General features: G+C 36.9%; 1 protein-coding gene across 28 annotated transcripts in view, besides 1 other annotated feature; it reads left to right on the top strand.

Annotated features, from left to right (window-relative positions):
- The window catches only part of OCA2 (OCA2 melanosomal transmembrane protein), a 380,308-nt gene that overhangs the window by 179,172 nt on the left and 187,382 nt on the right, over positions 1–13,754 (top strand). The gene's annotated exons all lie outside the window — the stretch shown is intronic.
- Positions 3,404–3,573: an enhancer, noted in NCBI's record as "experimental_39258 CRE fragment used in MPRA reporter constructs". NCBI's record gives its function as "activates a minimal promoter by MPRAs in K562 erythroleukemia cells, with activity observed for both the introgressed and non-introgressed 15:28161802 variant alleles {active_cell/tissue: K562}" and the evidence as "EXISTENCE:reporter gene assay evidence [ECO:0000049][PMID:34662402]".

Raw genomic sequence — 13,754 nt, 5'->3', positions numbered from 1 at the left:
GGTATGTCTATTCCATTTACAGTTTATGTAAATGCTAAGAAGGTAGTATTTATATCTGACATTTTTCTATTTGTTTTTTTCCTTATCTTTGTCTCTTTCCCTGGCCTCTCTGTTAAGGCATCTGTCTTTGCTGATATCACATACAACCTTCAGGCTTCACTAATTCCCAGTTGATTGCTCTATTTAAGTCTTAAGTTTTTAAGAATAGTTTTAGGTTCACAGCAAAATTGAGGGGAAAGTAAAGAGATTTTCCATATACTCCAACCCCCACACATGCATAGCTTCCCCCATTATCAACTTCCTCCATCACAGTGGTACAGTTGTTATGATTTATGAACCTAAATTGATGCATTATAGTCATCCAGAGTCCATAGTTTATATTAGTGCTCATTCTTGGTTCTTGGTGTTGTACATTCTGTGGGTTTGGACAAGGTATAATGACATGTATCCATCATTATGGTATCATACAGAGTAGTTCCACTGCCCTAAAATTCCTCTGTGCTCCACTTGTTCATCCCTTCTTCTCCCCCAGCCCCTGGAAATCACTGATCTTATTCCTGTCTCCATAGTTTTGAATTTTCCAGAATGTCTTATAATTGGAAGAGCACAGTATGTGGTCTTTTCACATTGGCCTCTTTCATTTAGTAATATGCATTTAACTTTCCTTCTTGTCTTTTCATGGCTTAACAGCTCATTTCTTTTTAGCTCTGAATACCATTCCATTGTCTGGATGTACCACACTTTATTTGTCCACCCACCATGACTTAAGGACATCTTGCCTGCTTCCAAGTTTTGGCAATTTTAAATAAAGCTGCTACGAACGTCTATGTGCAACTTTTTGTGTGGACCTAAGTCTTCAAATCGTTTGGGTAAATATGAAGGATTATGGCCAGAGGATAATTGCACCACCTAGAGCACTCCCAAGTTGCTGAAGTCCTCAGCATATATTCCAGGAGCTTATGGGATCGATCAGGACTATTCTTGTGTGTCTTTACTACCCAATACCTAGCACCTCCTCATATAATTGTGGGTATGAGAGTAATCATGATTCTTTGAGGAGAACTATATGATGTTTATTGTCTTGGCTATTTTATTTATACATCATGTTGGATTTCTTTAAATTTTTTCTGTATATCTTCTTTATAGCTTATTTCACTCTCCCTAATTGCTTCTTAATATTTTTCTCTTTTATCTGTACTAACCTAGGCAATTAGGGGAACCAAACTGAAAATATTGATTCAGTTACCTTGACACTGGGAAAGTCTCTTTTGTCTGTCTTCTCATTCTATTCGTTGTTATGCTGCAGTATCCCAATGATAAGTATCAGGCAGTTTCATCATGTGAGCACTAAAATGGGACAATTTATCCAGCTGCTTCCTTTAGGACCTGTATCCAATAGTGCAGGTACATGTAGCATTGGTTTTATTCATATTGATAAGTCAGAATACAATTTTGTAAAATTTCATTCTGTTGATTAAAAAAAGTTCTGGAAACTATAGGGATATAATATGTTTTCAACTAGAACAAAACAAAGAATTTTCATTTGTGACTGAAACTAATGTCAACAAAACCAACCCAACAAAGTTGCTGCTTTGTTGATGTGGACGTTAATTGAAAGAGGCACTTTTTGTGCAGAAACCAACAGGAAGGATTTCTGACTACAACTACGGGATGCATTCTTGCCTCAGTTTCCAACCTTCATGTTTTTATTTGGGTCCTCAGCAGAATATATTAATCTATCATAATTACTTATATCTTCTTGAAACTCAAGAGGTGCTGGACACAGTGGCTCTCGCCTGTAATCCCAGCACTTTGGGAGGCCGAGGCAGGTGGATCATGAGGCCAGGACTTAGAGACCAGCCTGGCCAACATGGTGAAACCCTGTCTCTACTAAAAATACAATAATTAGCCAATCCCAGATACTCGGGAGGCTGAGACAGGAGAATCACTTGAATCCAGGAGGTGGAGGTTTCAGTGAGTCGAGATCATGCCACTGCATTCCAGCCTAGGTGACAGAGTGAGACTCTGTCTCAAAAAAAAAAAAAAAAAAAAAATCAAGAGGGAGCTGAGCTTATTATTATTGCATTAACTTTGCTTGTCCTGTAACATTGTATGAATTGTGGTTTTGCAAGATGTTCAATAATTCTCCAACTTAAGTAGTCTAAAATATGGGGAGTTGAGGAACAATGGAATCTTCATGAGGTGTAACCTTAAGGAAGCCAGTTCAGATGCTTGCCTTCCCCAGGCTTCCCTGAGGGGCAGCCTAACACTCTTTCTGAAAAGTGTTAGACTTTTCGGCCCAAAAGGGACAATCAACTGGGCAAGATACTCTGACCGTCCTTTTTGAAGTAGGAAAAGCCCTATTAGGAGCCATTTTAAGGCCTGGATGCTTTCAACTCTGTTATTTTATCCTCAGATGTTCCTGTTCATTTTGCTCCCACTCATCCTTATGTAACAGGTCCTCACCTTGCTTCCCCCCTCTATGAGCAGTCTGACCATCATCATCAAGCTTACAGACCTCATTGCAGCTGGATGCAGCCTCTGGCATAATGGGGAGATGGATGGGTTGGAAGCTTTCTCATGTGCCATGAATATCACAGGACCATGAGAGCACTCCAGTGGGGATGCTCAGAGATCTGCGCACCAGTCCAGGAAGGACTCTTCCAATTCAGGCGAACAGGTTATAGTTCACATGATGTTTATGAGCACAGGCTTTCACATCAGATGGATCCATGTTCAAAGCTCAGCTTTGCTACTTCCTAGTTCTAAAATTTTAGACAAATTACTTAATACCTCTGAGCCTCAATTTTCTTATCTTTAGAATAGTCTATTAATATTAATCACGCTGCTTGTGAGAACCAAGAAGATCATATAGAAGTACTGAGCTCCATGTTGAGCTCCTAGTTGGCATTCAAAAAGTGCTATAGCCTATTATTATTATTATCATTTTTAGTAATAATTTGATTCAAAAGCTTAATTCAACCTATTCATGTTCAAACTATTCACTGTTAGCCCAGAAGAGAGTAAGGTTTGTATACAGAGGTCCTAGGCAAACTCTCTGGGCCCCACAGATCTCACACACCCAGCTCCCCTACCCCAAGCAGCCATTCCCTTCAGAGTGGCCTGCCTTCATCTTCACGCCCTGGGCTTTCATCTCTCGTTTTGCATCTGCTATCTTACACCTACCTAAGACCTCTTCCACATTTTGAGGGCTTCCTGGCCCTTTTCCTGCCATTTTGGACCTGAGTTCTCCAGCGTACGTTTTGGGTCAAATCCTTCTTCTGTCATGTTGCAGTGGCTCTGAAACAGGCCCCACTCTGAAGCACATACAGTAGGTCAGGTGTGTTCTATTTTTTGGAAAACAGTTGGAGACATTTGGGTCTATTGATTTATGTTGCACTGACTTTTGTTACTGAGGTCAGATTGTCTTCTAGAAAATTTGGTCAAACCATAGAGTAGTTGGTACAATGAAAACTGTAGGCATCTTGTCCCCTGAAATTCAAGATCAATTTTGAGTATTTCTAAATTTGGATAATGGAGCATGTTTCTGCAGATTTAGAAGGGCTTCAAAGTTAGTTAATGAATAACCTGTGTTAAGGAGTGTTATTTTACTTGTCCTTTTGTTTTATAGGGATTTGAAATGCTAAGTGTCCTTTAAATTCATGTTTAAAAATTTCTGGATGATTCTTGGATATAGGGAGTACATAACATCAATATAAACATGTTTACCCTTAGAAGAAGAAATTTTAGAATGAAACTGTTAGGCAGGAAATGTCTTTTTTTTCTTTCCAATTTGCATTTTGGGTTCGGGGGTACATGTGCAGGTTTGTTACAGGGGTAAACTGCATGTCATGGGGGCTTGGCTTACAGATTATTTCATCACTCAGGTAATAAGCGTAGGACCTGATACATAGTTTTTTGATCTTTACCCTCCTCCCACCTTCCACCCTCAAGTAGACTCCAGTGTCTATGGTTCCCTTCTTTGTGTCCATGTGTACTCAATGTTTAGCTCCTACTTATAATAATGAAAACATGCAGTATTTGGTTTTCTGTTCCTGCATTAGTTTGCTAAGGACAATGGTTTCCAGCTGCATCCATGTTGCTGCAAAGGACATGATTTCATTCTTTTTTATGGCTGCATAGTATTCCATGATATGTGTCACATTTTCTTTATTCAGTCCACTGTTGATGGGCATTTAGATTGATTCCATGTCTTTGCTATTGTGAATAGTGCTGTGATGAACATATGCATGCATGTGTCTTTGTGGTAGAATGATTTATATTCCTTTGGGTACATATACAGTAATGAGATTGGTGGGCTGAATGGTATTCTTTGAGGATCTCCAAACTGCTCTCCACATTGGCTGAACTGACTTATACTCTAATCAGCAGAATCAGCAGTGTATAAGCATTCTCTTTTCTCTGCAACCTCACCAACATCTGTTATTTTTCACTTTTTAATACTAACCATTCTGACTGGCATGAGATGCCATCTCATTTCGGTTTTGATTTGCAACATGATTAGCCATGTTGAGCATTTGTTCATATGCTTGTTGGCCATGTGTATGTCTTCTTTTGAGAAATAGCTATTCATGTCCTTTGCCCATATTTTAACAGGGTTGTTTTTTGCTTGTAAATTTGTTTAAGTCTCTTATAGATTCTGAATATTAGACCTTTGTCAGATACATAGTGTGCAAAAATTTTCTCCCATTCCATTGGTTGTCCGTTTACTGAGGTGATAGTTTCTTTTGTTATGTAGAAGCTCCTTAGTTTAATGAGGCCCCATTTGTCAACTTTTGTTTTAGTTGTAATTGCTTTTGGGGTCTTTGTCGTGAAATCTTTGCCAGGCTCTGTGTCCAAAATGGTACGTCCTAGGTTTTTGTCTAGGGTTTTTATGGTTTTAGGTTTTAAATTAAAATCTTTGATCCATCTTGAGTTGATTTTTGTATGTGATGGAAGGAAGGGGTCTGGTTTCAATCTTCTGCATATGACTAGCCAGTTATCTCAGCACCATTTATTGAACGGGGAGTCCTTTCCCCATTGCTTGTTTTTGTTGATTTTGTCAAAGATCTGATAGTTGTAGGTGTGTTATTTCTGGGTCCTCTATTCTGTTCCATTGGTCCATGTGTCTGTTTTTGTACCACTACCATGATGTTTTGGTTAACTGTAGTCATGTAGTATAGTTTGAAGCTGGGTAATGTGATGCCTCCAGCTTTGTTCTTTTTGCTTTAAACTTCCTTGGCTATTTGGGCTCTTTTTTTGGTTCCATATATATTTTGCAATAGTTTTTTTCTAATTCTCTGAAGAATATCATTGGTGTTTGATATGAATAGCATTGAATCTGTAGATTGCTTTGGGCATTATGGCCATTTTAATAATATTGATTCTTCTTATCCATGAGCATGGAAAGTTTTTCCATTTGTTTGTGTCATCACTGATTTATTTCAGCAGTGGTTTATAATTCTTGGTGTAGAGCTCTTTCACCTCCCTGGTTAGCTACATTTCTAGGTATTGTATTTTTTGTATAGCTGATGTAAATGGGATTGCATTCTTGATTTGGCTCTCAGCTTGAATGTTGTTGGTGTTTGAAAATGCTCCTGATTTTCAGCCATTGATTTTGTATCCTGAAATTTTGCTGGAGTTGTTTATCTGCTGAAGTAGCTTTTGGGCCAAGACTATGGGGTTTTCTAGGTATAAAACCATATTGTCTGTGAAAAGAGATAGTTTGACTTCCTCTCTTCCTATTTGGATGTCTTTTATTTCTTACTGTTGCCTGATTGCTCTGGCTAGGACTTCCAGTACTATGTTGAATAGGAGTGGTGAGAGAGGGCATCCTTATCTTGTTCCAGTTCTCAAAGGGAATGGTTCCAGCTTTTGCCCATTCAGTATGATGTTGGCTGTGGGTTTGTCATAGATAGCTCTTATTATTTTAAGGTATGCTCCTTTGATACCTAGGGATGTTGAATTTTATCAAAAGCCTGTTCTGCATCTATGGCGATGATCATGTGGTTTTTGTTTTTAATTATGTTTATGTGGTGAATCACATTTATTGATTTGCATATGTTGCACCAAACTTGCATCTAAGAGATAGAGCCTAATCATAGTGGATTAGCTTTTTGATGAGCTGCTGGATTCAATTTGCTAGTATTTTATTGAGGATTTTTGCATCTATGTTCATCAGGGATATTGGCCTGAAATTTTTTTCTTTCTTTCTTGCTTGCTTGCTTGCTTGCTTGCTTGCTTGCTTGCTTTCTTTCTTTCTTTCTTTCTTTCTTTCTTTCTTTCTTTCTTTCTTTCTTTCTTTCCTTTCTTTCTTTCTTTCTTTCTCTTTTTTTTTTTTGTTGTGTCTCTGCTAGGTTTGGTATCAGAAGAGGAGGGACTCTTCTCTAATTCACTCTTTGAGGCCATCTCATAGAATGGTACCAGCTCATCTTTAGAAAATGTCTTCATCTGACCTGATGGGCACATTAAATACAGTATGTGAAGATTTTCATGGCAGTTTTGGCCCCACTTTCTTTCAGGTTGTAGCAGTCTCTTCTTATAACAAGGATTTAGCAGCATAAGGGGAACCTCTCTTCAGTATTCCTATAGACAGAACCAACATATATGAGCTCACAATCTAAAATTGCAAAACACGTGGAGAAATAGTTTATCATGAATGAGAGCAAGCAAGACATTTTTGGATTATAATAATTTGAGAATGATGGATAACACTTTTAAGATGATGTATTTGATATATCTAATCTTTCCCTTCTTTCTTTTGAAATGCTTTTTTTTTTCAAAAACAAGGAAACAAGGAAATTTTCTTTTGAAAGAATTTTGGGCTTACATAAATATCGTAAAAAAGTATAGAGAGTCCACATTTACCCATCACCCAACTTCCCCTAAGTTAAAAATTATACAACCGTGATAAAACTATCGAAACCAGAAAATTAACATTAGTAGAATATTACTAAAACTACAAATACTATTCAGTTTCTTCAGTTTTTTCCTAATGACTTTTTTTCTGTCCAATATTCTATCCAGAATCCCACATTTCATTTAGTTATCATATGTCTTGAATTTCGTCTAAATTCTTTAGTCTATCTGGACCCTTTTGAAAAGTATTAGTTAGTTACCTTGTAGAGATTTCTCAGTTTGGGTTTGTCTCATGTTTTCTCATGACAGTTTTGAGGCTATGAAGTTTTGGCGAGATCACAGAGGTGATGTGCCTTGTCTAGTGCATCATATTGGGGTACAAACATTGGCATGTCCTATTACTGAAAGTGTTAACATCGATCACTTGGCTCATGTGGTGTCTGCCAGGTTTCTGTATTGTGAAGTGGAGCCCTGGCAAATTATCTTGTGGGGAAATACTTTGAGATTATACTAACATTGTGTTTTTCCTCAAACATTTTCTTACTGATTTTAGCATTTGTCAGTAGCTCTTTGCCTCTAATCATTATGACTGTAGAGTTTGCCTAATGATGATTTTGTATTATCCTTATTGCTTCTATTAATACATTTATTAACTGGAGCTTATCTATAAGGAAGAGCTATCCTTCTCCTTTATTTATTTACATTTGTAAAAGTTCATGGATGTTTATTTTATTCTATGTGTTGTAAGTCGGTACTATTGTTATTTATTTTGTTGCTCAGATTATTCCAGTTTTGACCACTGGGAGCAGCTTCGGTGTCCATTTGGCTCCTGTCGTCTTTAGACACATCCTCATCAATTTTCAATCAGTTTTTCATTTTCTCACATCATAAAATGTTCCTGAATCATTTTGCATTTTGCCTGCTCTTGCCCTGGAATCAACTGCCTCTCAAAAGATTTCTCATTCCTTGTATTGGGGAATGGTGTTTAGAAATCAAAATCTGGATGCTTGGTGTGTGTGTAGCAATTTAGATGTCGCTGAATCTAGGCCTCCGCAATCAGCATAGTTGGGCATATGTGTTTGTATACCAACACCCATATCCACACATCCATATCTGTATCTATATATTAATTTACTCGTCTATGTGTTTAAAACCTTCAGATCATATTGATTCCCTGAATTCCAATCCAGCACCATAAGATTTGCCTCTTGCTCTCACTGTCTACAATATATACTCACTTATTTGTTCAATTCCTAGCATACACCTAAAGTAGTTACAGAATTGCTAACTCATATATTTGTGAGAAATAGATTTACTAACTCAACTACAGTATTTGTGTAGACTTCTTTTTGTCTTTAGTCTTACAGTAGCCTGTCAAAATATGGTTTTCTGAAATTTCTTAAATTAATTCTTTTCTTCTCCATAGCCTTCAGTATGTTTATGTTATTTATTTGTAATGCACTTATTGGGGCTGGGATTGCTGTGATTTGGATACTTGTCCCTCCAAATCTCATGTTGAAATCTGATCTCTAGTGTTGAAGGTGGGGCCTCATGGAAGGTGTTTGGGTCATGGGGGGTGGATCCTCTAAGAATGGCTTGGTGCCATCCTCATGGTAATGAATGAGTTCTCACTCTATTACTTCGTGAGAGACCTGGTTGTTAAAAGAGCCTGGCACCTCCCCCTTCTCTCTTGTTTTCTCCCTCACTTCTGCTCCTGCCATGTGATCTCTGCACACCAGCTTTCCACTATGAGGGGAAGCAGCCGGAGGTCCTCGTCAGATGCAGATGCTGGTGCCATGCTTGTTCTACAGCCTGCAGAACTGTGAGCCAAATAAACCTCTTTTATTTTCTCTTTTCTTTTTTCTTTTCTTCTTGAGACAGGGTCTCATTCTATTGTGCTTGAAGTGCAGTGGCACAATCACTGCAGCCTCAACCTTTCCAGGCTCAAGGAATCCTCCTAACTACAGCCTCCCAAGTAGCTGGGACTACAGGCTTATACCACCACACCTGGCTAATTTTTGTATTTTTTGTAGAGACAGGATTTTGCCATGTTGCCCGCAGGCTGTTCTTTTCTTTAAATTACCCAGCCTCAAGTATTTCTTTATTGCATCATAAATGGACTAAGATGGGATATTTGAACCATTACCATGGTTCTAAGAATCAAAGCCATACAGAAATGTATATGAAAGGAAGTATCACTCTCTCCTCATGCTTACTATCCTGTTCTCCTTTGCTCATCTTTCTACCTTACCTAGATCTTTCCTGTAAGTAGCTGATGTACCTGTCTTGTATTTCTTTTCTTTTCTTTTTTTTCTTTCTTTCTTTTTTTTTAGATGGAGTCTCACTCTGTTGCCCAGGCTGGAGTGCAGTGGCATGATCTCGGCTCACTGCAACCTCTGCCTCCTGGGTTCAAGCGATTCTCCTGCCTCAGCCTCCTGAGTAGCTGGGACTACAGATGCCCTCCACCATGCCCAGCTAATTTTTGTATTTTTAGTAGATGCGGGGTTTCACTGCATTGGTTAGGCTGGTCTCGAACTCCTGACTTTGTGATCCACCTGCCTCGGCCTCCCAAAGTGCTGGGATTACAGGTGTGAGCCACCACACCCAGCCGTATGTTTTTTTTTTTTAACATAAATAAGCACATACAACTGTTTATTTTGTATCCCCTTCTTTATTACTTGAAGAATAACATAGTGTAGATAATCTTTCACATTTTGCTTTTTATAAGCTTAATGTTATGTCTTGGAAATCACTCCTAATCAGTTCACAGAAATCTTCCCAATTCTTTTTTATAACTATATAGTACCCCATTTTGTGAATGTGCCATCGTTTATTCAACCTTCCTTCTACATAGAGGCATTTAGGTTGTCTCCAGTCTTTTGTGATTACAAACAACACTACGGTGAATATTTTTGTATTGTTAGAGGTGTACCTTCAGGGTATATTTCTAGAAGTCAGATCACAGAGTCAAAGGTAAGTGCATGTTTTATTCTTCATTGCCAGATTTCCCTCTGCAAGAGTTGTGCTGGGTTATACTCCCACTGGCATTATGTGAGTGTGGCCATTTTCCTAGTCTGCCTGACAGAATGTCATAATTTTTCATTTTGTCAGTTTTATGAAAATAGTATCTCAGTGCTGTTTTCATTTGCATTTCTTTAATGATAAGTGAATTTGAACTTTTTTTTTTCATGTTTGAAGGCCATTTTTGAATCCTTTTTGGTTAATTGTGCATTCATGTCAGTGTCCTGTTTTTCGATTGCGTCTTTGTTTCACACTGTTCAAGGGTTCTTTATTTATTAGGGATATTAGCTCTTTGTGGTATAGACTGCAATTATTTACTCCTAGTTAGTTGTTTTGTGACTTTTTATAGTGTGTCTTTGTTTATTTTGGTCATGTAATTTTAAGACACTTTATGTAGACAGATTTACTAGTTATGTCTCTGGATTTTCAGTTTTATATAGAAAGGCTAAATAGAAAATCACCCATTACTTCTATGCTATCTTATTTTACATTTAAATCTCTAATACATTTGGGTTTTTTTCTTGCATATAGTGTGAAATATGGAATCTAATTTTATTTTATTTTTCCAAGTGACTACCTGGTTGTCCCAGTACCATTTATTAAACTGGACACTTGTACTCCAGTGATTTGAGATGTCAATTTTATCCTACATTAGCTTTTCATATGTCCTTGGTCCTATTTCTGAACTTCCTATTATATTACATGTCTATTTGTCTGTTAATGGACCAGCATCAAATTGTTTGAGGCTTTATAATATGTTTTAATGTCTGGTAGGGCTAGTTATGTCCCCTTTTTAGTTTTTCTTTTTCAGTGCTTTTTGGGATATTCTTAATATTTCTTTTTTCTTATGAACATTAGTATCAACTTGTCTAACTCAATTATGAAATAGCTTGCTGACATTTTTGATCAAGATTGCATTGAATTCATACATTAATGTGGCAATAGCTGTCATCTATATATTGTTAATTAATTTAATCTGAGAACAGGATGTGTCTTTGTATTTGATCAAGTCTACTTCTGTGTCTTTCAGGAATGTTTTAAAATTGTGTTGTATAATTTTTGCACATTTTTTGTTAAAGGTATTATAAAATATTTAATCTTTGTTGATATTATGCATGTGGTTTTCTTTGACAGTAAGTTCTCTACTGTTTATTTTTTTGTGTATATAGAGGCCATTGGTTTTTATAAGTTAATTTATCCTTAGTTGATATCCCTGTCTAATGTTAAATAGTAGCAGAAATAAAGGGTAAACACAGCAGGCCTATGAATGCCATGCTTAGAAAGGTCTACTTGCCAGGTTAGTCCTTGGCTGGCATCTGGGAACTCAAATTTCAGAAGTATTCCCACCATTATCTAACTAATAAGGACAGTTTACTGTGCCTAGACTGTTTATGCAAACAATTTGATTTATGCTAAACACCTGTTTTCTTTCTGGGAGTCTGGAATTTTGGTATATGTTAGGCAGAGGATGTTTATGTGTCAGACCCCAATAAAAACCTGAGTCTCTAATGGGCTTCTCTGGGCAGGAACATCACACACATGTTGCTACATTTTCATTGCTGGGGCACTCTGTGAGCCCCCACCATGGGAGGAAGAGCGAGAAGGAAGCCTCACATGGATCTGTACTCACGTGGACTCCACATTCGTCTTTTCCCCTTATGATCTGGCTGTGTGTCCTTACTTCATGGCTGTAATGAATGGTAGTCAGGTGTGCAACTGCATGCTGACTCGCAGAATTCCTCTAGAAAATCTCCAAGTGTCAGGATGGTCTTGGAGATTCTGACACACTGACATAGTGGAAATGCCTTTAGTATTTCTCTATTAAATATGATACTGGCTTTAGGATTAGATATATATACCTAATGTAATTTTTTATCACATTAACAAAGTATCCACCAATTCCTACTTTCTTGAGTGTTTTAAGCAAGAATGGGTGTTGAAATTTGACAAAGATTTTTTCCCCCTAGTATTTATGGAGATCATCATATTATTTTTCACTTAGATCTATTAATAGAGTGTATGGTACTAATGAATTTCCTAATATTGAACCAACCTTGAATTCTGGAATGAATTATCTTTTTTATGATTTATTATTTTCTTAATGTGGTGGTCTTTTTGCTAATATTTCATTTTCTATTTGGCATTGATATTTATTAGTAATTCATGATATTCATAAGTAATACTTTTCTGTAGTACTCTTTTTTTTTCTTAATGAGTCTTTACGTGGTTTAGGTATCATTGTCACACTTGCTTCATAAAGGGAGTTAGGAAAATTTACCTTCTTTTCAATAATCTGAAATAATTTATAGATAATTGTGACTATCTGGTTTTTGAGGGCTTGATACAATTCCCCTGTGAGACCATCTTGGCCTGGCTCTTTTTTGGGAGTGGGCTAGTTATTTCTTCAATAACTTTTTATTTCTTTGGAAATAGGTCTGTTTAAGCTTTCTAAATCAGATGGGGTCAATATTGGCAATCTGTATTTCTCTAGGGAACTATCCATTTCACCTAGGGTTTAAAATTTATTTTCACAGAAGTTTCCAAATTAGTCATTTATGATTTAAATTTTACTTCTGTTTCAATGATTATTTCCTTGTTGTTCTTTCTTATTTTGAATATTTGTGCTTTTTCCCCCTTTTCCCCTTAATCAAGTTAGATTGTGGTTTGTCCATCTTGTTAATTTTTTTCAAAACAACAACTGGGAGTTGGTTAATTAATATACTGTTTTTATATTCTCCATGTCATTAATTTCTGCTTTAACTTCATTATCTCCCTCCTTTATTTGGTGGACTTTGTTTTTTTCTAGTTTTTAGAATTGGATATTTAATCTTTTTTTCAGTGTTGTTATTAAATGTGTTTTGTGCAATGATTTTCCTCTGATTACTGCTTTAAATGCATCCCTTAAATTTTGATATGTAGTGTTTTCATCATTTTTTAAAAATTGTAATTTCTGTTTCTATTTCCCACAAGAATTGTTTCAATAGAACATTTTTAACTTTCCTGGCAGAAGGACCTTTCTGTTTTTTGTTTTTCTTAGTAATTTTCTAGCTTGGTTGCACTGGCAGCAAAGAGGTTTTTGTATTTCAAAATATTTCTACTTTACGGAAGTTATTAATTGCTATGTTTTGGATATTTGTCCCCTTCAAACCTTATGTTGAAATTTGATCGCAGTGTTGGAGGTGGGGCCTGATGGGAGGTGTTTGGGTCATGGTGGCGGATCCCTTCTGAATGGCATGGTGCCATCTTTGTGGTAATGAGTTCTCACTCTATTAGTCCTTGTGAGAGCTGGTTGTTAAAAGAGCCTGGCGCCTCCCACTCTCTTGCTTCCTCTTTTGCCATGTGATCTCAGCATGCCCTGGGTCCCCTTTACCTTCCCCAACAAGTGGGAGCAGCCTGAGGCCCTCACCAGAAGCTGAGTGGATGTTGGTGTCTGCCTCTACTTTCAGAGGCTACAGAACCATGAGCCAAATAAACTGTTCTTTGTAAGTTGGCTGGATTGGAATCCTTTGTTACACTTTTTTTTTTCATTGACTTATTTTTAAAAATATTGCTCCATTGTCGTTTTGTTTATATCTTGATTTTGGAAGACCTGATGTCAGTCTGATTGTTTTGCGTGCGGCCTTGATGATTTTTATCTTCTTCCTTGAAATCTTATAGTTTTACTAGAACATGTAACAGAGATTTTAGTTTTAAATATTAGCTTCATTCTACTATTTGTTTTTTTCCCTTAAGGACTCCAATAAACAAATATTATTCCTTCATTGCCCGGGTTCCATTTCCACTACTATCTCTGCCCTTTTAATTTATCTATTTACTTATTCATTTTTATTCTCTTACTTGCTTTGATATCTTTATTTAGTGACCCTTGTTATATT

Source organism: Homo sapiens, chromosome 15 (assembly GCF_000001405.40).
Source record: "Homo sapiens chromosome 15, GRCh38.p14 Primary Assembly".
In the NCBI taxonomy this organism is placed as follows: Eukaryota; Metazoa; Chordata; class Mammalia; order Primates; family Hominidae; genus Homo; species Homo sapiens.
The sequence above is the reverse complement of the archived record's forward strand: the minus strand, read 5'-3'. Positions and strand labels throughout refer to the sequence as shown.